A 27,136-nucleotide genomic window follows, 5' to 3' on the forward strand; every position below is an offset into this window, starting at 1 on the left:
CTCAGCCGGCGTCTGGCCAGCCCAGCCCTGCCGGCCTCCCCTTCTCCCTTCTTCCCTTCAGGGTGAGAAACAGATGCAGCTCATCTCTGAGAGGACTTGCAGCGGTGTGGAACTCCCAGGAGTTCTGCCCAGTGGCCAGGCATGCTGGAAATGTGCCTGCTCTGTGAAGCTTGTCCAGCCCTGAGATTCAAACAGTATGCAACAGGACCTTCTATTTTTGAAGCTCCCCCACTCTGTTAGTTCCAGCATGGTTGCTATTGTATTCTATTTTATCTTTTACATCAAATAGGTTGATATTTGCTTACTGCCCCCAAAGTCCTGTAATAGTAATATACTTCGAGAATTGAAAGGTTTTCCACACACACACACACACACACACACACACACACACACACACACACTTAATTCTCATAAAATCTCTGGGAGGAAGGTATCGTTCTTCCATTACAAATAAGAAACCAATGCTGGGGCAGGGAATTTATACTCCTACCTAATCTGAGTTTGCTGGTTTATTCAGTCATTGTTTTGAACTAAAATATGGGTCTAATACCCGCGAAAAAAACAAAAACCCCACAAGTCACTGGCAACGTGGCACCAGGCATTTCATTTAGTGGAAAATATGTATCAAGTTGTACTTTCTGAATAACAAAGCTGACTTTTATGGAGGAGATATTTCAGATGAATGAGGAAAATGCAGTGTCCAAAGTCAATTTCAAAGGTTTCTTCTTAATTATTATTATTTAGTAAATGTCAAGTTCATTCCAGAGGACGAAACACAGAGCACATGTTCTCATATGAAATCTACCGCTTTGGTGAACTAGCTAAACACAGGGCTCTGGGTACCCTACATTGTACAGGTACAGTAGCTTCTATCTGCCTAAGGAAACAAGGTCCAGGAAATATGTAAGTTGAGAAGAGCGGAAACTTAATTGTCTATCTCAAATTCATTTCCTGCCTTCTTCCTTAGAAATGGAACTTTCACTATTCTGGTACTTGATATTCTAGATATTCCACCCACTCCAGAATTTTACAGTTTTGTTTGTTTGTTTCCTTGTTTGTTGTTGTTGTTGTTTTGAAACAGAGTCCCACTCTGTCACCCAGGCTAGAGTGCAGCAGCGCAACCTTGGCTCACTGCAACCTCCACCTCCCAGGTTCAAACGACTCTCCTACCTCAGCCTCCCGAGTAGCTGGGACTACAGGTGCCCACCACCACACCCGGCTAATTTTTTTTTGTATTTCGGTAGAGACAGGGTTTCACCCTATTGCCCAGGCTCGTCGTGAACTCCTGAGCTCAGGCAATCCGCCCGCCTCAGCCTCCCAAAGTGCTGGGATTACAGGAGTGAGCCACCGTGCCCAGAATTTTACAGTTTATACCTTGCAGCCAGGTGTGCTCCTGTGACTAAGTTGCGGCCAATGGAATAGAAATGGAGGTGTGATGGGCAACTTCCAGAAAGTGTTGGGGTGGGGTGAACACATATGCCCCACACTGGCTCTTCCTCCTGCCAGCTAGCTGGAATGTAGATGCAATGGCTATGTTGGATGGTGAGAAAGCAAGATAAAAAGAGCTGGGGCCCTTGGTGATCATGGTTTGGCTGTATCAGCTGTGGACACCCTTATCTGAACCCCTCTATACGAGTAAAAATCAAACTTCTATCTTCCTGAAATCTCTGTTATTTGGAAATTTTTGTTTCGTTTTCTTAGGTATCCAAGACTATTCCTGATATGTCTTAGAAATCTATATAAATTGTGCTCCTGCCAAGGAACGAAATTCTTTGTGCACTATTTCCCCTTAAAATATTTATTTAAAAAATGAGTGACGGTTGATTGACTTATGAACTAATTTTGTGAGTGGCTCATTCTAGTAGGCCTGAAGTTCCCAAAGGCATCATATTCATTTCTTCATACTTATTAAGTTCCTGCTCTGAGAGGGCCTCTGTACTAGATGTAAGGAAGAAATTAAAGAAGAGAAAGCAGCCAGGTGCGATGGCTCATGCCTGTAGTCTCAGCACTTTGGGAGACCGAAGCGGGCAGATCAGCTGAGGTCAGGAGTTCAAGACCACCTTGGCCAACAATGTGAAACCCCGTCTCTACAAAAATACAAAAATTAGCCAGGCATGATGGTGGGTACCTGTAATCCCAGCTACTCAGGAGTCTGTGGTGGGAGAATCACTTGAACCCGGGAGGTGGAGGTTGTTGCAGTGTGCCGAGATCGAGCCATTGCACTCCAGCCTGGGCAACAGAGGGAGACTCCATCTCAAAAGAAAAAAAAAGAAAGAATGCCCCTGCTTTAGAGGCACCTGCACTCTAGTTTTAGAAAGAGATGTGTTAGGCCGGGCACAGTGGCTCACACTTGTAATCCCAGCACTTTGGGAGGCCGAGGCGGGTGGATCACGAGGTCAGGAGATTGAGACCACCCTGGCTAACATGGTGAAACCCCGTCTCTACTAAAAATACAAAAAATTAGCCGGGCGCAGTGGCAGGCGCCTATAGTCCCAGCTACTGGGGAGGCTGAGGCAGGAGAATGGCGGAACCCAGGAGGCGGAGCTTGCAGTGACTGGAGATCGCACCACTGCACTCCAGCCTGGGCGACAGAGTGAGACTCTGTCTTGGGAAAAAAAAAAAAAAAAAGGAAGAAAGAGATGTGTTAAAAATTAAACTGTGAACTATAGTAAATAGTAATACAATAGAGGTATATAAGTGCTATCAGGACCAGTAAGAGAGTAATTAATTTTGCATGGGAGAATCCAGAAGGTTTCATGGAAGTCACACTACTTCTCTGAAATCTGGAAGGATAAGTAGGATTTCCACAGGGGACTAAGCAAAGTCCCAAAATAAAGAAAGAGTTCAACAAATAATCCTGTGTGGTTAGAATACAAGGTACTTGAAGAGGAATGACAGGAGATAAATCTGGAAAGGGTCCAGGAGCCAGGTCCTATCATCTTTCCTACATCAGTGGAGTAGCATGTGCAAATGTGCATTTTAAAATAACGATGCTGACCATGATATGGCCCTTGAGTCAGGGTTGTGAAAGTATCTTATTCATTTATGTGCTCCTCAGAGAGCATCTTTAGCATCATTAGACCTTTACTCATACGGAGTAGAAGTTTCTTAAACATTTATGAAAATGAATGAGGCCAGGCGCGGTGGCTCACACCTATAATGAATGAGGCCAGGCACAGTGGCTTACACCTATAATCCCAGCACTTTGGGAGGCCGAGTTGGGCAGGTCTCTTGAGGTCAGGAGTTTGAGACCAGCCTGGCCAACATAGTGAAACCCTGTTTCTAGTAACAACATAAAGAAAAAATTAGCTGGGTGTGGTGGTGGGTGCCTGTAATCCCAGCTACTAGGGAGGCTGAGTCAGGAGAACCACTTGAACCCAGGAGACGGAGGTTGCTGTGAGCGGAGATCGCACCATTGCACTCCAGCCTGGACAACAGAGTGAGACTCTGTCTCCACAAAAGAAAAGAAAAGAGAAAAGAAAAGAAATGAATGGATGAATGAATATGTGAATGAAGATAATAGTATTTGATTTTTTTTTTCTTTGAGATGGAGTCTGACTTTGTCACCCAGACTGGAGTGCAGTGGCACTCACTGCAACCACCGCCTCCTGGGTTCAAGCGATTCTCCTGCCTCAGCCTCCCAAGTAGCTGGGATTACAGGTGCCACCACCATGCCCAGCTAATTTTTTGTATTTTTTAGTAGAGAAGGGGTTTCACTATGTTAGCCAGGCTGGTCTTGAACTCCTGACATCGTGATCCATCCACCTCGGCCTCCCAAAGTGCTGGGATTACAGGCATGAGCCACTGCGCCTGGCCTTGTATTGGATTTTTAAACATAGGATATTGTAACTGTTACCAGAAAGAGGTCCTGATCCAGATCCCAAGAAAGCGTTCTTGGAATTTGTACAAGAAAAAATGCAGAGTGAGTCCACAGAATAAAGTGAAAACAAGTTTATTAGAGAAGGGAAGAAACAAAAGAATGGCTACTCCATAGACAGAGCAGCCCTGAGGGCTGCTAGCTGTATATTTTTTATGGTTATTTCTTGATCATATGCTAAACAAGGGGTGGATTATTCATGGGTTTTCTGGGAAAGGAGCAGGGATTTCCCAGAACTGAGGGTTCCTCCCCCTTTTAGATCATATAGGGTAATTTCTGGACATTGCCATGGCATTTGTAAACCATCATGGCACTGGTGAGAGTGTCTTTTAGCATGTTAATACATTACAATTAGCGTATATGAGCAGTGAGGACAGCCAGAGGTCACTTTCGTCATCATCTTGGTTTTGGCGGTTTCAGCTGGCCTCTTTATTGCATTCTGTTTTATCAGCAAGGTCTTTGTGAGGTGTATCTTGTGACCTCCTATCTCATCCTGTGACTAAGAATGCCTAACCTCTTAGGAATGCAGCCCAGCAGGTCTCAGCCTCATTTTATCCACCCCCTATTCAAGATGGAGTCACTCTAGTTCAGATGCCTCTGGCATAACTACCCAGTGGGTTTTTCTTGCCCACTGCCCAGATAGAGCTGATTTATCAAGGCAGGGGAACTGCAACAGAGAACGAGTTTTACACATGTAGAGCATCTAAACGGCAAGCTAGAGTTTTATTACTACTCAAATCAGTCTCTCCAAGAATTTGGGGGCTAGAGGTTTTTGAAGGTAGTTTAGGAGAAGGGGTCGAGGTAGCTAGGCAATGGGTGCTTGCTGCTGATTGGTTGGGGGGTGCAATTATACAGGTGTGGGAAATGGTCCTCCTGCTCATTGAGCCACTTCAGGGTGGGGCCACAGGAGCAGGTGGCAGGTCCAAGTGGAGCCATCAGTCATCAGATATACAAAAAGCCTGAAAAGATAGCTCAAAAAACCAATCTTAGGATTTACAAGAGTGATGTCATCTGCAGGAGTAATTGAGGAATGCCGAGACCAGCTCTGTCAGGGAGATCCTAACCCAGTGGTGCTAGAGGAATTAAAGACACACACACAGAAATACAGAGGTGTGAAGTGGGAAATCAGGGGTCTCACAGCCTTCAGAGCTGAAAGCCCCAAACAGAGATTTACCCACATATTTATTAACAGCAAACCAGTCATTAGCATTGTTTCTATAGCTATTAAATTAACTAAAAGTATCCCTTATGGGAAACGAAGGGATGGGCTGAATTAAAGGAATAGGTTGGGCTAGTTAACTGCAGCAGAAGCATGTCCTTAAGGCACAGATTTCTCATGCTATTGTTTGTGGCTTAAGTGGTTTTCTGCCCTGGGCGGGCAGGTGTTCCTTGCCCTCATTCCGGTAAACCCACAGCCTTCCAGCATGGGCGTTAGGGCCATTATGAACATGTTACAGTGCTGCAGAGATTTTGTTTATGGCCAGATTTTGGGGAGCCTGTTCCCAACAGAGGAAGTTGCGTATCTTGTCACCTCTGGAGTAGTGGCTGGCAATCCTTTAGGTCTACAGCTTAGCCGAATTCAGGCTCCTCTATCCTCCTAGCCTGGTGGTCTCTCATTAGGTTTACAAAGGCAGTTGAGTTTTGGGGAAGGGCTAAACTGCACAAAGTTAGCTTGGCCCAAGCCCAGGGATAATTAAGGGCAGCTAAAGGAAAGGTGAGGGTTGGTTAAATCCCATCTCTTTCACTGCCATAATTTTCTCACTGTTATAATTTCTGCGAAGGTGGTTTCCATATCTATTTCAGTTTGCTAGGGCTTCCACAACAACATACCAGAGACTGGATGGCTCAAACCAGCGGTCTCCAACCTTTTTGGCACCAGTTTCGTGGAAGACAATTTTTCTAAGGAGGGTAGTAGCGGGGTAGAGGTGGGATGGTGGTGGGTGATGGTTTTGGAATGAAACTGCTTCACCTCAGATCATCACACATTAGATTCTCATAAGGAGTGTGCAATCTAGATCTTTCTCATGCGCATTTCACAATAGCATTACCACCTGAGCTCCGCCTCCCGTCAGATGAGCAGCAGCATTAGATTCTCATGAGAATCTAACTGTCATCATCTTGGTTTCGGCAGTTTCAGCTGGCTTCTCATTCGATTCTCATGAGAATCTAATGCTGCTCATCTGACAGGAGGCGGAGCTCAGGTGGTAATGCTCCCTGGCCCACTGCTCACCTCCTGCTGTGTGGCCTGGGTTCATAACAGGCCACAGGCTGGTATTGCAGTGAGCCAAGATCACACCATTGCACTCCAGCCTCGGCAACAAGAGTGAAACTCCATCCCAAAAAAACAAAAAACAAAAACAAAAACCTTATTTCTTACAGTTCCAGAGGCTGGGAAGTACAAGATCAAGGTGGTGCTGGCAAGGCAGGTTTCAAACTGAGGCCTCTTCTCTTGCCTGGTGGACAGTCACCACCTTGCTGTATACTGACATGACTTCTTTGTGCAGGTGTTGGGGGTGGGGAGGGCCCTTCCTTTTATAAAGACAACAGTCCCATCAGATCTGGGCCCCACCCTTATGCCTTCACTTAACTGTAATTACCCCTTTGAAGGTCCTGTCTCCAAATACAGTCACATTGGAGGTTAGGGCTTCAATATATGAATTTGGGGCATTGAGGGGGACACAATTTGATCCATAACTATACTATTCTGCATAATGTAAAAACAATCCAAATTAGCATAAGCCCTCTCAGAGATTACCACTAGAAAGGGAAGATACCTGTATAAACAACAAACACATGGATATAAAATGATCAAACAACTCCAGGCTGGTGAGACTATTGTAGATAATAAGAGTTAGTTATCTGATAGGACTAGGGCAGGCTTGGCCAACCTGTGGCCCAACACAAATTCACAAACTTTCTTAAAACATTATGAGATTTTTCTGCAATTTTTAAAAAAGTTCATCAGCTATTGTTAGTGTTAGTATATTCTATGTGTGGCCTAAGACAATTCTTCTTCTTCCAATCTGGATGAGGGAAGCCAAAAAATTGGATACCTCTGGCACTAGGGTAAGGGTGAGTGAATTGCTGAGGCTTCATATTTAAGGAGGCACTTAGTCTCAGGGCCATGTGAATGCACGGTTGGCATTTGCACCACCCAGAGAGTGAGCACCTAGTCCTGGCCCTGTTTCCAAGTCTCCACCAAAGAAAAAACTTTGAAACTGTCTTAGTTTGGGATCCTGTAGAAGCAGACTCTGAGGTAGAGACTTGAGTACAGATGGTTTATTGGGGAGATGCAAGGGCTGCTGGCAGGAAAGTGGGAAAGTGACAGAGAAGGGAAGGCAGCCGACAATGTGTGAATTATGAGACCAGTCACCCTAGGGAGTGATTAGACCTTAACCCATGGAGAACCCTGGTGTGAAGGACATTCCTCAGAATCATACCACCTGAGGGGTCGGGGAGCTGGGGTATTTATACACCACCTCCCCATCAGCTTTTGTTAAGAGCTGCTCTGGGGGCTGTGGCACTTCTGAGCAAAAAAGGGGCCAAAAATTCTCAGGCACAGAAGATGCAGATACTGAAAGTTTAGGGTACAAAGGATAGGCAGTGGTGGGGGTGGGTGGCAAGGGGGAGAACTGAAGGCATTGACACTGGCTGCTGCAGAAACAAAACTTAGATATTATTGAAAAAGCCTTCTACCTCCCCCAAAGCATGGGCACTAGGTTTGACCTAGGTCTGGCCACTGGGTTGTTCCCAAGACTAGGCCTTTAGTTGCCCTTGGCTGTTGAGCCTGGTGCTAAAGAGGTTGATTCAAAAATACTGCACCGAGAAGAAGCTAAATGAAAGCCAAAAAGGAAGAAGAATCTGGGAGTGCTGTCAATAGAGTGGAGGCTAGGAAGTTCCGGACAAGAGAAGGTTTGAAGCAGGCAGAGGTTGGGAAATGAAACCTGGAGCAAATCCTGTATCACAAGAGAGGAAATATAGCCACAGTGGCTTTGTACATTCTCCCATGACCCTGGGCAAGGGCAGGGCAGGAATATAATGGGGACAATGAACAAACAAGTGCCTGTGACAGAAGAAGGGAACATAGGGAGTCTTTAGACCATGCAATATTAGGGCCCAGAGGACCTGAAAAATCATATGCCCAAATCTCTTAAGTTACTGAAGCCCCAGTTTCTCCTACTTGGGCTCACAAGCATGTGGGCTCACTGTGCCCTCCTGTTGTCCCTCCTCAGGCTGCTCCTGTCCCCAGTGGGGAGTTTGCAGAAGGCTGATCATGGAAAACATGGTTCCTTTTCTCTCTTCCTCTCTACTTAGCCAAAATTCATGAGGTTCTTCTGGGATGGCTGTGCCTACTTTCTCACCTCCCATTCACTCCTTGCCTCTACCACTCATTCATTTATTTACATTCATTCAGCAAACTTTATATATATATATATATATATATATATGTACATATATACACATACACACACCGGGCATTCTGCTAGGTTCTATGGATACAAAGATAAGGTGCTTCCTATTCTTATAATGCACACAGTCTTGGGGAAAGAAATTCAAGTTGTATATGACAGTGGTTAGGAGCACAGACTTAAAAGTCCAACCACTTGGCTTTGAATCTTCGCTCAACTACTTACTAATTATGCCCTAGGGCAAATTACCTCTTCCTGCTATAGTTTTCTCATCAGCACAATGGAGTTCCTCACAGTACCTCTCACTTGCATCCATGTGAAGAGACCATCAAACAGGCTTTGTGTGAGCAATAAAGCTTTTTAATCACCTGGTGCAGGGGGGCTGAGTCCAAAAAGAGAGTCAGCAAAGGGAGTTAGGGGTGGGGCAGTTTCATAGGATTTGGGTAGGTAGTGGAAAATTAGAGTCAAAGGGGGTTGTTCTCTTGGGGGCAGGGACGGGGGTCATAAAGTGCTCAGAGGGGGAGCTTCTGAGCCAGGAGAAGGAATTGCACAAGGTAATGTCATCAGTTAAGGCAGGAACTGGCCATTTTCACTTCTTTTGTGATTCTTCAGTTGCTTTGGGCCATCTGGATGTATACGTGCAGGCTTGGGCTTAGAGGCCTGACAGTACCTACCACCAATGGTCATTACAAGGATTATAGGAGAGGCCTCTAATGCATTTAGCACAGACCCTGGCAGATAGTGAATGGTCAATGATGATGAGCAGTCACTGTTACCAGCACGTACAGGGGGATAAGAGTCAAATAGGTGAGTGCAGGGGATGCTTTGGAACACATGGGCATGGTTCTTAACCTAGACCAGGCAGGGAAGTGATTTCAGGGAAGGTTTTTCTAGAATAGAAGAATGGCCTAAAATGAGTCTTGCTGTTTCCATTTTGGATCCTAAGGGCCTACCATATAGTAGGGACTCAAGTCCTAAGTGCTGAAATGCTGAGCATAAACACATACACAGAAACATGGACAGAAGGATGGAAGAGACAAAGAAAGCAGGAGTGGTGGTTAGACCCCACTGGTCACAGCTCATGCTCCTCTTTAAATGTCCTCTTAAATGAACATTATGATTCTCTTCCCCAGCAATGGTAGACATTGCATTCCAATAATAGGCAATAATCAACTATGGAATTGTTTACAAAAGTTTTTTTTCTTTTAGTCTTGCGAAGTTTCATTCAGTTTCTGTAACTGTAATAGGTTCATCGCCCGATGCAAACAGCAAGTCAATATGCAGAGACACCAGCAGAGAAAGAGGGCCACCAAATGAGGAGATGGGAGGGAGCCTTAAACCTGTCTCCCAGAGGTGTCTGGGGATAGAGTTTTGAAGGGTTTTGAAGTGGGCCAAAGTGTGGAGGTGATTGACTGGTTGAAGAGTGCAGGGTGGAGTCATGTGAAAGGGAGAGAAAGAAGCTGGATTCTCATGCTGATTCCATTCCTCTGTGGGGCTCTTCAAACTATTGCTAGAATTTGGGGGTCTGAAAACTATCTTAAGATCCTTAAACAAAGGCTTGCTTATAGCTCGAAGCAGGCAGAGGATGGGAAATGAAAGCTGGAGCAAGTCCTGTATCAAAAGAGAGGAGCAATGGGGATGCAAACCAAATCTTAAGCAGTCTTATGACCCTGATGTCAGGAATCCTACCTACAGGAAGAATGGGAATGCAAATGGTCAATATCTATTGCTACCTGACTTTTAGCAACAAGGAAGTGGGGTGGACAGCAGCCTACTAATGCTTAACCATAACAATATTTCTATCCAGAATCAGGCATGCAATTTTTATCAACCCCATAGGGATGGTTTCATTTCTATTTGGGCTTGAAGAGCCTTGGCTAATTTCAGAGACTGCTGTCCTCTGTCTTTTATTTTGTATTGGAGAAATTTCAGGAAATTATTCTGGTGCTTCCAGAACATTTGTTCATAGCATCATTTAATGTAAAATTAACATTTTAGGGATGATAGAATTTCTGAACAATGTTCTTGGATCTTTGGAATTATAATTAAATACATATTCAGGGTGTTAAAAATTCAAGCACTATAGCTTGTACCAGAGTGTGGAAAGACTATAGAGATGTTATGCTTTTTAACGGAAGTTGGCAGAATATGATGTCAAGATTAAAGAGCAGGCAGATTTATTTTGGCAGCTGACGATCCTAGGCCTAGTGAATTTCCCATCACAACCCATTAAGCAAGAGGAGAAAAAGCCTGAGTGTAGGATCTTTAGAATGAAGCCACAGCAGGAGCAGCAAAGGTTGGTTTAATTATGTTAAAAGCAACCCTAAGACCGGAAAAAGCTTTTAACATTCCTAGCACATAAAAATAGTTGGTCTTGATGTTTTGCTGCTGAGCAATTGGGGAAATGAGTGTTTCTATTGTGGCCAAAAGCCTGCATATTTCTTTTATGACTCATCTCATGTCTGAATTATGAAAGTTTGGCATGCGGAAGGGCATGAAAGCCTCACATCTTCATTTCCAGTTAACCCCTGTCAGTATAAAGTTGGGCTGCACTTTAGGATGAAATCGTGTGACAATTCAACTCAGAGTATATTTTCTAGGACTGTTTGGTATTTGGAATAAGGAATGATTTCTCATCTCTAAATGTTTTCTAAAAGTAGACATAGGCTGGGCGTGGTGGCTCACGCCTGTAATCCCAGCACTTTTGGAGGCTGAGGCATGCAGATGACCTGAGGTCACGACTTCGAGACCAGCCTGGCCAACGTGGTGAAACCCCATCTCTACTAAAAATACAAAAATTAGCTGGGTGTGGTGGTGGACGCCTGTAGTTCCAGCTACTCAGGAGGCTGAGGCAGGAGAATCGCTTGAACCCGGGAGGTGGGATTGCAGTGAGCCGAGATCGCTGCCAATGCACTCCAGCCTGGATGACAAGAACGAAACTCTGTCTCAAAAAAAAAAAGTAGATATAATGTCATATGCAAACAATAGCAGTAACCACAACACACACTCCCCTTCTTGCTTTCTATACTGATTATAAAGATCTGGCTGATTGTAAAGATCAGTGCCCTGATATTGGGAAGCAATGATTATTGCTGAGTTTTATTTTCCTCATTTGTAAAATTTGAATAATATCTGCCTGGCTGGTTTGTTGTGGGAATTAAATAAGTGAATATATGTGAATAGCTTAGTACAATGTCTGACACATACTCTTTGTTCAATAAACAGTAGCTGTTGTGAATGTTGACATAGTTAGTATTATTAATAATGCAATGGGAAAAACATTGGCCTAGACATCAAAAGGCTCTGTTTTCTCTAAGTAATTATTTAACCCGTTGCCTAACCTGTTTTGCTTACTGAGTCTATTTTAAGCCATAATTTTTCTCATCTTCAAAGAAGGAGTTTGGCCCAGATAACTTCCTAACTTTAGTATTTATGATTCTACGAATAACTGGTGGTCAGTATGGCGAAGTCCTCTCTGCTGCACCCCTTCAAGTCCCTGCGTCTTTCCTGAAATAATATTCTTCAACCACAAGCAAGTTTTGTGTCTGGCGTTCTGGGAGGAGAGCTTGAGCTGCACACTGGCCAGCTTTGTGTGGGTGCAGAATAGCTCTGCACTGCGGAAGGAAGGACTTTTTTGGGAAATGAATTCTAAGTCCAAGGACATAATGTCTAGAAGTGTCTTTTGGTACTAGTGGGTACACAGATAAAGTTCGGACTTGTCTCCAGGAGATACTGTTCCATTGTGAGAGCAAAGATTGATGGCTTTGTCCCATAGACCTTGATGGAATTTAACCATTTTAATTTGACAACAAAGACATTTTCACCTGGGGAGATAGAATTCCCCAGACTGGCTCCAGTTAAGAGCAGGCAACCATAACAGCATAATAATTACCCCTTGCATCTGTATAGTTTGTTGCCTCTACAAATCCCTTTGTCATACATTATGCCATTCCATCCCCACAACAACTGTGTAAGGTAGGGAGGGCAGCTATGAATATCCCCATTGCTTCAATAAGGAAGTGGATCTTCAGAGAGGTTGGTGACTTGCCTGGGGTTGCACAGCTCATAAGGGCATGTGCTAAGCCAGAGATGCTGGGCTTACTGGCTATGTGGGGCACCTACACACCTCCTAACACCGTGTCTGAATAGCAGGAACTCGCCTTCTCCACTGGTTTCCCTGGAAACTGGCAAAATGTCTCAGCATCTCCATCAGATAACATTAAGCAAAGAAAAAATTTCAAAGAAGGGTCTGTGAGGGCAGTAGTTTGGCCAAATAAGCAGAAAGGCTAAGGAGAGGGGAGATGTCACCCTCATTCTCTATCAAGAGGCTCCATATAATCCTTATCAATAAACACTTTTAAAAGGGCTGTTAAGTTATAGTCATCCAAATATGCATTAAAAAATCACCTACGAAGGGCAACATTCAATTCAAAAGTACAGTTATTTAAGACATTTTAAGGAGAAACATATCTGTTTATTGTAAAGAAAAAAACAGAGCATGTAAATATTTTATTAATTGAATAATCAAATCCTAGAAGAACAGATTCAAGTTCATCAATCAGTAGAAAAGTCATTCTTGGCCTATTCATAATTTTGCTTAGTCAGTTCTGCAGAGAGAAGATAATGGCATTTGACTTGCTTCTCTCTGATTTTCCTTGCTTGGGTTTGAAAAAAGAATCCGCTGTGGCTTCTGTCTCCCACATTCCTGGAGGCATCGTGTTCACTCAGGATGATGAAGTGGGAGTGCACTCGCTGAGGAGTCTTGGGGTGTTGAGTAGGCTCTCCTATCACTTACTCTGACAAGGGACCACAAACACACAATGCTAGTCCTCGAGCCTTCTAGAAGCTGGACTGGGTGATCCAGAGGCCCCTTCTGGCTAGAAGGCCAGAGATGTCCTTTTCCCCTCCCAGGAATCAGCCAGCTGAAGTGTCCAAATCCGTCCTTCTATTCCCAGCAGGCATTATGCCCCCCAAATCAAGGGAAAGATAAAACTCCCAGAATCCCTCACTTGATTTCCCCCACACCTTGTCATGGGAAGACCTACAGCTATAATCTGTGTGCTGGGAGAGACAGGTGTGTCGTATTTGAATATCCTACCAAGTCTTAGGAGACATGGAAGGCAGTGAGGTTTGGGAAAGACAGAATCCCCACATAGCTTTGCTGCCCATGCCACATGTGAGAACCCTCCTGATGCTGCCAGGCCTGAAATGCCCCAGAGGTACATAGAAATGCTCTACTCTGAACCCATTTAACCAGCTTCCCAAAGGTTAGGATTGCTTTATTTCAGCTCCAGAAGAAAGCCCTCAAACTAGCTTTTTTTTTCACTATGGATTTCAATCTGTCAATCTGTACAATGTCTGATTTAGCAAAATCTAAAGGCATCTGAATAAAAGGCCTACAGACAAATTGTGAATGCACTCCTATTAAACCCTTGGACAGATTTAAAGGCAATAATGATCTCCACTTCCCAAGGATAGGTTTTGCATAGGAGCGGCACTTTGGTCTTTCATCTTCTCAGAAGCCCTAGGAGGTAGGTATTACTACTGTTCTCACTTCAAAGTTGAGGACATTGAACCAGATAAGGTAGAATAATTAAGTTCACATAGGCAGTAAAAGCAGGAGCCGTACATAAATCCAGGCTCTTGCCTTTAGGCAACATTGCCTTCTAGATGGACAGGAAGGAACGGAGCTTCAGGCTAAAGAGAGATCTGGAACTTGGGACTAGCTCATCAGCATGGCTGAGTGCTGCTTTTTTCAGTTCCTTCCTTGCTGCCTCCACATCCACTCTGATCTATACTCCATATTCGATAAATGCAATAGCCCCATAATTTCCCTTAGAGGCATCTGGAAATATATAGGTCAAACTTAGAAAGGAGGAAAGTTAAAAAAAAAAAGACTCATGGGGGTTTCATGGGGCTCAGTATCAAAGCATGTGTGTGTGTCGCACGCACGCACACGCACTGAGCCTCGAATGCGGCCTCCCCACTGTGCACGTGAAGAGGAGAGCAAGACCTCTCTGTGCTGCAACAGCTCTGCGAGTGCTGCCCAGAGCAGATGTGGCCTCCCCGGCCTCATCACTTTACAGAGCAGCATCTCAGTTACAGCCAGCCACCCCACCTCGCTGCTTTCAGCTCCCAGCTCTCCTCTTTTTTTTTCTCTCCTGACCTCTCTATCCTTGCTGTGGATTAGCTCTGTGTGGCTAGCTTGGTCTGTACTTCCCCAAACTGAATCCCATTTCCTCTCTCCTGCTCTGCACCAGCTTTTTCGGATGTCTGTGTTGGTTTCCTTCTCCGGCCTTTGCAATACCCACTGTGCCTGCACTCTTCTGGGTTACTAAGAGTAGGTGTCAAACGAGGACAGCCAAGACCAGGTCTTCCGCTGGATGCTTCCCTGGAGCCAGCTACCAGCTCTCCCCCAAGATGGGTACAGAAATGCCAGTGCTTAGCCTCTAAGGCTTGCTTTGAATTCCAGCTCTGCCACTCGGACCAGTACTTCACTTCCTGAGTCTCAGTTTTCTTATGTGTATGATGGGTATAGCAATTTGTATGATGATATGATGGGTACAACAGTCTCTTCCTCAAAGAGTTGGGAGAAGTGAATGAGATAATGGTATAAAACACTCGGCAGGGGCAGCTACAGAGAGAGTTCTAGCTATTAATATTATCAGTATGTTGTGACTGGTTCCTTACCTTTCACAGGACACAAACTCTGCCTCATTTTCACTTCCTCCTTTTACATTTTTTTTCTTTTAAACATACATTACCTGAATAACCTTTACACGTAGGTGTTATTACCCCAATTTATAAGGAAGAAAACAAAGCCACAGACAGGTTATGTAACTTTCCCAAGGTCACATCGTTTGAAAGAAGAGCAGCTGGGATTCAGTGGTCCACTCTGACTCCTTCAGGAGACAGCTGCAGGGTGTGTCAGGGTCCGTGAACTTTGCCGGGGACTGAGAAGACCAGATGATCAGACAGTGCCCTGCAGATGGGGCACAGAGAAAAGGAGAAACAGGCAGGTAAACAGATAATTATGGAATAGTGGGATAAAGGTATCCAAGTAGGCAGGCAGGGTCCTGGGGCGCCCCTGGGGGCAGGTCTCCAGAGCCCATGTTTTTTCCACCACTACTGTACTGATCACAACTCAAGCTAGATTATTTCCTGCTAGATTATGGGACACATTTGAGGAGAGAAAGAGTAATTCTGATACAGGGTAGGGGATGGGGTAGCAGTGGAGAAGTCCATATAAGAGTAGGTGGCCTTATTAGAGTCAGATTTTGGAGGAAGGGACATAGGTAGAGAAGGTAGGAAAAGGCATTTCTAGGTGGTGAGACTAACATGAACAAAGGCAGAGGGGCTGAAGGACGTAGGATTCATGGTGGGCCAGAACATGAAAAGCCCAGAATGCCATGGTAAGCAGCTTGGGCTTTATTTTGAAGGTAAAAATAGAACCACCTAAAAGGTAGGTCAAGATTGAAGCTATTTTGGGTGGCAGCATGCGTGTGGAGGCTGGACAGGAGAGAGGAAAGTTTCAGGCAGGAAAACCAAGAAGGTCCATAATTTTTTTTTTTTTTAAAGAGATGGGATTCACTGCAGCCTTGAAATCCTGGGCTCAAGCAATCTTCCCACCTCAGCCTACTGATTAGCTGGGACTACAGGCACATGCCACCATGCCCAGCTAATTTTTAAATTTTTTGTAGAGATGGGGTCTTGCTATGTAATCCAGGCTGGTCTCAAACTCCTGACCTCAGCCTCCTAAAGCACTGGGATTACAGGCATGAGCCACTGTGTCCAGACTAAGTCTAACATTTTAATCCAGGTCAGTCTCAGTTACTATGACAGAGATGGTAGTGGTGGTATAAAATTCTCAGGACATAGGTTAGATACGAGAAGGAATGGGGAGATTAAGAGGGTCTAGTCAGAGCTCTGCTATGTTGATTAATCAAGCCAGCACCCAGTGGAGGAGTACAGTAAATCACAGTCAACTTGAACACAAAATATTTCCTAGGCCCAAAACAGGAAGTGCAAAAACATGACTGTAGGTATTGCATTGTCAAAAGAAGGAATGTATCGTGGAGGGGGAACTGCCATTGCCGAAACAATTAAAAAGAAAATAAACACAAGCACAGAGATGCAGAAGTTGGCAGCTCCAGGGGAAGGTGCCCCATGACCCCCAAATTCAGCAGTCTCATCCCTGAAGTGAGTGTATTTTGACCCAAGTGTGGGTCTTGATGTCATTAGCCTTTTAATTTATATCACTGACTCTCCTTGCTCTGACTTAATACTCACCAAGCCATCTATTGATTATAAGTCTCCTTTTTATATAGATCCTCCTACAGAGGAACAGAAACCTCTGAGCAGCCAACATGAATGTCCAGCACATTTGGCAAAAGGCAGTAGAGTGTGTCAGTGAAGAGCATGGGCCAACATGCTTGAGTTTGAAACTTTCCAGCTGTGTGGCTTTGGACAAGTTATTTCAAAGCTCTGCAACTCAATTTCCCTGTCTGTAAAATAAGGATGTTAATAGTACCCTCTCAAAGGGTCATTGTAAGAATCAAATGACAAAATGCATGTAGACACCTGGAAGAGTGTCGGCAAGTAGTAGACGCTCAATAAATGATGAATGTTGTTATTACAGATCTCATTGCCACCTGATAAATGGTGGCATTGTGGTTATATAAAACATCAGTCTCTCATGAGGATGGTAAGTGTGAGTCGGTCTTCAAGGGTGTGCTTTCCTATGAGACTGATAAGATTGAGTTTCTGGGCCAGGCGTAGTGGCTCATGCCTGTAATCCCAACACTTTGGGGGGCCAAGGTGGGAGGATCACCTGAGGTCAGAAGTTCGAGACCAGCCTGGCCAACATGGCAAAACCCTGTCTCTACTAAAAATACAAAAAAAATTAGCCGGGCTTGGTGGCGCATGCCTGTAATCCCAGCTACTCGGCAGGGTGAGGCAGGAGAATTGCTTGAACCCGGGAGGTGGAGGCTGCAGTGAGCCGAGATCATGCCACTGCACTCCAGCCTGGCAACAGAGCGAGACTCTGTCTCAAAAAAAAAAAAAAAAAGAAAAAAAAAAGCTGAGAACTTGATCCTTTACTATGGTGAATTTGTTTACTTGTCTGTTTCCCATAAAACATTTGCAAGTCCTTGAGAGGAGAATTTGTGCCTCATTGTCTCAAATCCCAAGTGCTCAGAATGGTAGCTGGCACATGATAAGTGGTTAATACATTTTTATAGACTTTATAGCTATGATTCCAATATTGTCACTGGCCTATTTCAGATCTGTCCAATAGAAAAGTAATTAAGCTATATTGAATTGTAAATTTTCAATTTTGTAGTAGCCACATTAAAAAATAGTTAAAAGATTAGGTAAAAGTAATTTGGGGAATATTTTTTATATTACACTCTTACCTCATACCGTATTTAAAAATATTAGCTTGTAACAGTTCAAAGACCTAAATGTAAGAGCCAATACTATAAAACACTTAGGAGGAAACATGGGTGTAAATTTTCATGACCATGGATGAAGCAACAGGTTATTTGAGATGACACGAAAAGCATAAAAAACAAAAGGAAAAATAAATTGGATTTCATCAAAATTTAAAACGTTTGTATACTAAAGAATACTGGCAAGAAAGTGAAAAGACAACCCACAGAAAATACTAACAAATTATATAACTGAAAAAGTATTTGTATCCAGAATATGTAAGGAACACTTACAAATAAACAATAAAAAGACAACCCAATTTCTAAAATGGGCAAAGGATTTGAGACAGTTCTCTAAAGAAGATAGACCAATGGCCAATACTTGCGTGAAAAGGTGCTCCACATCATGAGTTGTTAGGGAAATGCTAGTCAAAAACCACATGAGCTACCACTTGATACCCATTAGGATGGCTATAATTTAAAAACAGAAAAAGACAGAAAATCACAAGTGTTGATGAGGATGTAGAGAAATTGGAATCCTTACACATTGGTGGTGGGAATGTAAAATGCTGTGAAAAATGATTTGGTAGCTCCTCAAAAAGTTAAACATAGAGTTATCATATATTCCAGCAATTCCAGTCCTAGGTTTACACCCAAGAGAACTGAAAACATATGTACATACAAAAACTTGTACACTTGGCCGGGCATGGTGGCTCACGCCTGTAATCCCAGCACTTTGGGAGGCCAAGGCGGGTGGATCACCTGAGGTCAGGAGTTCAAGACCAGCCTGGGCAACATGGTGAAACCCCATCTCTATTAAAAATACAAAAATTAGCTGGGCGCAGTGGTGCGTTCCTATAATCCCAGCTACTCAAGAGGCTGAGGCAGGAGAATCGCTTGAGCCCGGGAGGCAGAGGTTGCAGTGAGCCGAGATTGCGCCACTACACTCCAGCCTGGAAACAGAAAGAGACTCTGTCTCAAAAAAAAAAAATTGTACACTAATTCATAGCAGCATTACTCATGGTAGTGAAAAAGCAGAAGCAACCCAAATGTTAACTGATGAACTGATAAACAAAATATGGTATATCCATAAAAGGAAGTATTATTCAGCTATAAAAAAGAATGAAGTACTAATATATATTACAATATGGGAAAACCTTGAAAGCATTATGTTCATTGAAATAAGCCAGACACAATAGTCCACATATTGTATGATTCTATTTATAAGAAATATCCAAAATAGAAAAATCTATAGAGACAGAAAGTAGACTAGTGGTTGCCAGTGTTTGAGGGGAGGCTCAAACTGGTAGTAATTGCTAACCTGCAATGGGGTTTCTTTTTGGAGCGGTAGAAATGTCCTGGAGGCCGAACATGGTGGCTTACGCCTGTAATCTCAGCACTTTGGGAGGCCGAGGCAGGCAGATCATGAGGTCAGGAGTTTGAGACCAGCCTGGCCAACAGGGTGAAACCCCGTCTCTACTAAAAATACAAAAATTCCCGGGAGTGGTGGCATGCGCCTGTAATCCCAGCTACTTGGGAGTCTGGGGCAAGAGAATCGCTTGAATCCGGGAGTGGGAGGTTGCAGTGAGCCGAGATCACACACTGCACTCCAGCGTGGGCGACAGAGCCAGACTCCATCTTGGGGGCAGGGAACAAAACAAAACAGAAATGTCCCGGAATTCCACAGTGGTGATAGTTTCACAACTTTGTGAATATACTAAAAACCACTGCATTTAACATTTTTAAAGGGTGATTTTTATATAGTGTGAAATTTTATATTATGTGAATTATATCTTAGGTTTTATTAAAACCAATGTATCTAAAATATTACAGGTTGACTATCCCTAATCTGAAAATCCAAAATCCAAAATTCTCCAAAATCTGAAACTTTCTGAGCACCAACATACTAACATGACACTCAAAGGAAATACTCAATGGAGCATTTTGCATTTTGTGTTTTCAGATTAGGGATCCTCAGCTGGTAATGTAAATATTCCAAAATCAGAGAAAATTCAAAACCTGAAACACTTCTGGAGTGTTTCTAAAGTATCCCTTTAAAATAAAGAATAATCAACCTGTATCATTTTAGCATGTAATTGATATAAAAAGTTATTAATGAGGTAATTTACATTTTTCCCATGCTAAGTCTTTGAAATTCCGTGTATATTTTATACTTACAGCACATCTCAATCTGAACGCTACATTTTCTTCTGAAATATTGTATTTAGATTTCATAAAATTTACAATGAAAAAAGTAGACTCACAAACCTAAGTGGTCTCAAGCATGCTTCAAAGTTTTCCAGTAATGGAATCAAGTATCAGTGCTTAAATTTTTGTTTTAATTAAAATTAAACAAAATTTAAATTGCACTAGACACATTTCAGGTACTCAATGGCCACATGTGGCTAGTGACCACCCGAATGCACAATGCAGGTCTAAGGCAGACTACTAAGCCTATCTCATTCTGCTATTATCATTCTAAACTAGTGTTTTTGTTTTTTCCCAGTACCATTCAACTGTGATTGTTTCAGTCACTGTCCTATTTAAAGCAGAACTATATTTGGGGAAAAGGGTCTTTCAATATTCTTCCTCCTCCCCTGGTCCTTCCTCCTCCCCTGCTTCTTTACTCTGGAAGCATAGGAAGCTTGTGTTGACGTCACGGTGGTGGGTTGCCCTCCGATATCCCTCCCCTCCACCTCTCTTAGTAACCTCTCAATTTGTTTTGGGCAGCAATGCACAAATGGAATGACATTGTCTTGGCTAGTGAGGTATTAGAAAAGCCTAACCCATCCATAGAAGAGAGATCACTGGTCTATGTACATCCTCTGGGTCAGTGGTGATACAGCTGTTCCCATCTAGCCTTTGAATGTGCACCAATATCATTTACCTATGTACTGAGCCTTCTCCTCATCCCAAACCAACTTCTTGCCCATTGGGACTTCTGTGTAGTCCCAGCAGGACATATGGCAATCTCTGGACCATCTGCACACCACGCACAGGTCCCTTCTCTGCCTGACCATGCCACGTCGCCCTTTCTGCTCTTTTGCAGCCTTCCCTGGTGAGGAGGGCTCCTCTCACATTTCCAACTGTAAGTGAGGCACAGGCCCTTTCTGACTTTGGCTTTCCCTTTAATCTAGCAGAGGACTCCATTGTTTCCATAGGCCCCTCTTCCAAAACATTCAAGCTGTGGCCCAGCGGTAGTCATACCTATTTCAAAGCTCGTGGCTCTTGCTGCTGCTCATGCTCTCATGTACTATCTCAGTTATATTCTCCTACCATGTTCGGCATCTTCTCTGTCTTAGAGCTTGTGGTGAACCATTTACGCATACCTCCCAGATGTGCTTTTGAGGCCACCTCTAAACTAGAAAAAATAAATGAAATACAACACAGATGACCTTCACTTTGGGTTTCCTCTCAATGAGTTTAGGCTACACTACACCCATTGGCATGGGGGGATATCTCAAGAATTCTGAACATGCATAATTGAATATACTTCTACTGCAGCAGAACCTAGTTGGATTCTAGCAAAATGCTCCAATTTAATCTGTGTTTAATATTTTTCTGTTGCTCACCAAACTGAATTAATTTGGCAATATATTGCAAAAAGAAGTGCTTAAAAATAATTTCCAAAAAAATGGCAATATATCAAGACCCAGATTTCAAAAAAGATAATCATAGTAAATTAAATCTTAGAGTACTTCTTTAGCTCTTAAAAAGATTCTTTCATATCTATTACAATAAAACCTTTATTTAACTAGAATGAAGTATTTTACTCACATTATCTGGTTAAAAAGTAAACAAACCTGAACCAGTGCATCACTTAGAAATATATTTGGCTACAAGTAAGAGAAACCCTGACTCAACTGACTTAAAAAAATAAAGACTATTGTTCCATGTAATAGTGAGCCCAGAGTTGGGTGGTGTCAGAGTTTCAGCAGTTCAGTGTTATCACCTAGATCCAAATGATTTTGTATCTTTTTACTGTAACATCCTCAGAAAGTTGGCTTCAGCAGCAGTGGCAGCTTCCTGAGTTGCCAAAATGTGACACAAGCCCAGGTATCCCCTCATCACACAGCAAGTCTCAAGGCATTTACGCAGTCATCCTCTATCTAGAACAAGGAGACACTTCCCCCAGAAGTCCCCATAGACCTCTCAGGTCTCTTTGGCCAGAATCACATCACAAGCCATGATTGGCTTAGAATAACCAAGAATTATTCCTTAGGCTCAGAGTGGCCTTGTCCTAAACCCGAAGATTAAGCAAAATTCGGGTTCTATTAGCTAGAACAAAGGGGGCTGGCTGGTGGGTGGTCAACCAAAAATATCTGTCAAAAGCATCCTTTTTTTTTTTGTTTTTTTGGTTCAAATGTTTGGCTAATCTTCCTTTCATGTGTGGTGGTCCACATTCTGCCTTTCTGATAACTGGAGATGTTGAAATAACCTCAGCTCACTAAACTGTGAGCATCAATTTTTCATTATAATGGGCTGTAGGATTAGGAGGTTTGGAATAATGGGCTGAATTTTTATTGGCTACTAACATGTATTTTGGAAGGTGCATTTTGGGCAAATGATCAACATTTGTTTCTTTGGCTATGATTTACTGTTTAATTCCAAAAGTAGTGTGCTGAAAAATGTTGCTGACTGCACTGCCAGCCTCCTGTTTTAGTTGTTTGGCTATCGGTCACTTCCATTTGATTCCATAACAATCTACAAAGTAGGGTAAGTACTAGAACTTCTAACTAAGGTCAGAGAAGTAAAGTAACTCTCCTAAGGCCACATAGCAAGTTTTAGGCTTCCTAGCTGCAGACTTCTCACTAAGTGTAGTGTGATGAGCAAAACAGCTCATTATACGAGAAAGAAGTCTCGCATAATGACCTGAAAACAACCCTGGCAGCTCACTCTGATTACCAGTACCATGAGCTAGAAGGGATGAAAGAACTTCTTCTCCCAGCAGAAGGGGCTGCACTCAAGTGCAATATTCCAAAGGACTGGTGGTGTCCTCCCCACTGCAGGACTGTAGCATCCTTTGGACCCCAAGGTCCCCAGATGCTAGGCAGCTGGCTTTCCAAGGTACTCCTGTAAGCAGCCAAGCCCCCAAATCTAGACTGCCTGAACCAAGATGCCTAGGCATCCCTTCACTGACAAGGCAGCTTTCTCAAGCTTGCTTTATAGAAAAGGTAGAATCGGGGGGATATCGTTCCTCTGTTAGAATAAGGACTCACACTACATGTCTTGCAGAGCACTGTAACTTACCTTATAGATTTACCCTTTCCCCAGGAAAGCCTATTTCTTAACCCAAACTAGGTGAGCTTGTAGAACTCAATGGCTGCATACCAGGTGGTGACTCGGAAGGGACCCAATTTACACCACAGACACCCGCTTCTTTTATATAGGTAGAAGGATGTGTCATCCAAATGTACCTACAAGTGCAAAGCTATTAATATAGTGCTGCATTTAAAAAAAATTCATGGAAAAATTGTTTCACCCTTAAAGTGATGCTTTCTAGTTATATTACATGCATCCATTTAAGTCATCCAATCTTGTCTCTACAAGATAGAGTATGTATAAACACATATCAATAAATGTTATACATCATACATTGTTGTATTCGAGACTTCATCTTCTTTCGCTTTTTGTTGCCCCCATTTCAGACACACACACACACACACACACACACACACACACACACGTATCCCCTCATGAACTTTCTGACAACAACTCACCAATGCCATTGCTAAAGTAGCTTGATTTCTCTAGTGATTCTGAATATTTAGACTCTAGGGGCACATGGGAACATTCTCCTCTCCAAGTTCTTGTGATCCTACAGTTTCTCTTATGTCTCAACCACAGTGATCTAAGACAAAGTAGCTTTTTTTTTTTTTTTTTTTTTTTACTAAACAGGGTCTCGCTGTCACCCAGGCTGGAGTGCAGTGGTGTCATATTGGCTCACTGCAGCCTCGACCTCCTGGGCCCAAGCAATTCTCCTGCCTCAGCCTCCCAAGTAGCTGGGACTATAGGTGCACACCACCACACCCAGCTAATTTTTGTATTTTTTGCAGAGACAGGGTTTTGCCATGATAGTCAGGCTGGTCTTGAACTCCTGGACTCAAGTGATCTGCCCACCTCAGCCTCACAAAGTGTTGGTAAAACAAGCATGAGTGCCCAGCAAAAGTAAAGGAGCAGGTTTCTCAGTAAAGCATTAGTCTACCCTCATGGGTTTTCCTTTGATTACTCTTTGGGATACTCTCCCTCTTAATCACATATGCTAGAGACCACGAGTTTCAGACCAGCCTGGACAACATCGCAAGATCTCTGTCTCTGCAAAAAACAAACAAACGAAAAAAAATCCAAACCAGAAAAACAAAACAAAAAAAAACATAATGGCTTATTTCATTGTCCTCCTAAGGTTTTCTTAAAATTGATTTTTAAATGTTCATTAATTTTTACATTATTCATCTACCAAAATGACTAAAATAAGACAAACTGCCAATACTTAATGTGGATGAGGATATAGAGCCACTGGAATGTCCATACATTGTTGGTGGGATAAAATGATACAGCCACTTTTGAAAAAGGCCTGGCAATTTCTTATAAATTAAAGATACAGCTACCCTATGATCCAACAATTCTATTACTAGGTATTTACCCAAGAAAATAGCAACATATGTCTGCAAAAGACATATAAGAATATTCATAGCAGCTTTATTCATAATAGCCAAAATGTGGAGATAGCCCAGATATCGTCAGTGGGAAAATAGATATACCAATTGTAGCAACTTTAACAATTGGAATGCAGTTTAGCAACAAAAAGGGAGCAAACCAGAGACATATGCAATAACATAAACAAATGTCTAAATTGTGCAATGTGAAAGAAGTCTTGCATAATGAGCAGAGTCTGCACTGTATGATTCCAACTCTATGAAGTTTTAGAACAGGCAAAACTAATCTATAGTGAATAAAATTAGAACAGTGGTTCCTTTTTTTGAGATGGAGTCTCACTCTGTCTCCCAGGTTGGAGTGCAGTGGTGCAATCTTGGCTCACTGCAACCTCCGCCTCCCAGGTTCAAGTGATTCTCTTGCCTCAGCCTCCTGAGTAGCTAGGACTACAGGCATGTGTCATCATGCCCATGTAACGTTTTTGTATTTTTAGTAGAGATGGGGTTTCACCATGTTGGCCAGGATGGTCTCGAACTTCTGACCTCAGGTGATCCACCCGCCTCAGCCTCCCAAAGTGCTGGGATTACAGGCGTGAGCCACCACGCCCAGCCAGAACAGTGGTTCTTTCTGGGGTAGTTAGAATGGAGACTGACTGAGACAGGTCATGAGACATTTTGGGGTGATCATTGTTATTTTGATAGGGGTCTCAGTTACATAAGTGTATGGATTTGTCAAAAAGAGAATGTTCACTTAAAATTTGTACATATCGTTATGCATAACTTAACAATAACTATAAATAAAACTAAACTTTAATGCAATGTATGCTGAAGTATTTAGGGAGAAGTGATGTCTGCAACTCATTTTGAAACGTATCAATAAATTAGATGGATTGATGGATGGATAGGGATGAATAGATAGGTAAATATGTGATAAAGCAAGTATAGTAACATGCTGTGATAGAATCTAGGTGGTGGGTATATGAATGTTTAGTATTAAATTCTTCCATATTTTCTTCCACTGAAATCCTGTGTTTCTGAAAATCTTCATAACTTATATTGGATATAAGTTCATTAGCTTCTTTCATCCTCCAAAACTGGTACATCCTCCTGTTCACACTTCCTTTGGTTCTCATGGTTTCTGGAGGCAGAGACAGCCTTGCGACTACAGCTACCCATGCAGTGCTATTTGAGGGACTCCAGAAGGCATCTCTGCTCAGCATCCCCCCTCACCTCCTTCTCCTACCAGTCACAACAGAAGATTTCTTTTTTTTTTTTGAGATGGAGTCTCGTTCTGTCACCCAGGCTGGAGTGCAGTGGCATGATCTCGGCTCACTGCAAGCTCTGCCTCCCGGGTTCACGCCATTCTCCTGCCTCAGCCTCCCGAGTAGCTGGGACTACAGGTGCCCATCACCACGCCCGGCTAATTTTTTTGTATTTTTAGTAGAGACGGGGTTTCACCGTGTTAGCCAGGATGGTCTTGATCTCCTGACCTCGTGATCCACCCACCTCGGCCTCCCAAAGTGCTGGGATTACAGGCGTGAGCCACAGCGCCTGGCCACAACAGAAGGTTTCTACTAAGCATTTATTTCTTTAGATCTAGAGGGAGTTTAGGTCATCACAAATCTCCTATCAATATGCAAATATTCCCAGGTCAGGGAAGTAATTTAAACCTGGGGGGACTTACTTGTCAAATAAAGGAAAGCAGAGTCTTTTGTGACAGTAAATAAAATATACGGACAAGAAAGAGAAAGAGAGAATCTATGTAGGAGGCTAAGACATGTCAAAGCCAAACCACAATATACAGTTTTGCCTAGAGCCAGGTGTTTGAGACCTGGCTTAAACCTTAAAAAAGTACGGTTTATCTATAGGGAATAACTCTAATCCCCGTTCCTCAAGGGATAACAGCCAGAACCTAGAAATAGAGTCAAGATCATGGTCATCAAAACACAATTCTCTGGCCCCAGGCTTGTTTGCTCTATAGAACTGAAGTTCCTCAATTTCCTCCACTTCATTCTGGGAGGCATTAGACGATGTCTTGTGCACGTCTGAGAATGAATCCTCTCCCTCCTTGACCTGCTGAGGCTGTGAGTTTCTCCTGGGCATGCCCGCAAGGTCTGGATGCCTGCCTGGAGCTGATTTCCTCTCCCATGCCATCTCTGGTCCAGATGTAGGCTTGGTTCAGCCCATGCCTCTGCTCAGCTGCTTTGCCCATTCCGAGTTCTAAGACCCGAATGAGGAATGTTCCCTTTGTCCTCTAAATCCCCATGTTTTCCCTAGAAACTTCACTGAAACCCTGTTTTGCATATATATATATATAGTAGAGACGGGGTTTCACTATGTTGGCCAGGCTGGTCTCGAACTCCTGACCTTGTGATCCGCCTGCCTTGGCCTCCCAAAGTGCTGGGATTATAGGTGTGAGCCACTGCACCTGGCCTCCTGTTTTGTACTTTCGATTGCAGCCTCTTCTCTTCAAGGTTTGGGTACAGCTCATGGGGGCAAGACTGGGGCCACCTATGGGACAGACTAGGGCTGTACTGATAGAGCCACCCCTTATCACTGACTCAATGTTCTTGGACTGTCTTGCAACTCTCTTCTCTTTCCTCAGGATGAATTCTCAGTTCATCCTGAGGAAAGAGAAGAGAGTTGCAAGACAGTCCAAGAACTAAGGCTTTTTGTTCCTTCATGTAAGTAGGCCACCCATAACTGCTTCCCCTTCTGTTTCTTTTGAGGCACAACTGAATTACGAGGAGATCCCAGCTGAAGCTATCA

At 43.2% G+C, this 27,136-nt stretch overlaps 4 annotated features.

Moving 5' to 3' along the window:
* Positions 4,990–5,490: an enhancer, noted in NCBI's record as "H3K27ac hESC enhancer chr8:94886986-94887486 (GRCh37/hg19 assembly coordinates)". NCBI's record gives its function as "activates a minimal SCP1, AML or CMV promoter by ChIP-STARR-seq in primed H9 embryonic stem cells {active_cell/tissue: H9 hESC(primed)}" and the evidence as "EXISTENCE:reporter gene assay evidence [ECO:0000049][PMID:30033119]".
* Positions 5,491–5,991: an enhancer, noted in NCBI's record as "H3K27ac hESC enhancer chr8:94887487-94887987 (GRCh37/hg19 assembly coordinates)". NCBI's record gives its function as "activates a minimal SCP1, AML or CMV promoter by ChIP-STARR-seq in primed H9 embryonic stem cells {active_cell/tissue: H9 hESC(primed)}" and the evidence as "EXISTENCE:reporter gene assay evidence [ECO:0000049][PMID:30033119]".
* Positions 10,041–11,240: an enhancer, noted in NCBI's record as "P300/CBP strongly-dependent group 1 enhancer chr8:94892037-94893236 (GRCh37/hg19 assembly coordinates)". NCBI's record gives its function as "activates an origin of replication core promoter dependent on BRD2, BRD4, P300/CBP, MED14 and CDK7 cofactors, with strong dependence on P300/CBP, by STARR-seq in HCT116 cells {active_cell/tissue: HCT116}" and the evidence as "EXISTENCE:reporter gene assay evidence [ECO:0000049][PMID:35650434]".
* Positions 14,939–15,108: an enhancer, noted in NCBI's record as "active region_27620". NCBI's record gives its function as "activates an Ori minimal core promoter by ATAC-STARR-seq in GM12878 lymphoblastoid cells {active_cell/tissue: GM12878}" and the evidence as "EXISTENCE:reporter gene assay evidence [ECO:0000049][PMID:35858748]".

Source organism: Homo sapiens, chromosome 8, assembly GCF_000001405.40.
Source record: "Homo sapiens chromosome 8, GRCh38.p14 Primary Assembly".
Taxonomy (NCBI): Eukaryota; Metazoa; Chordata; class Mammalia; order Primates; family Hominidae; genus Homo; species Homo sapiens.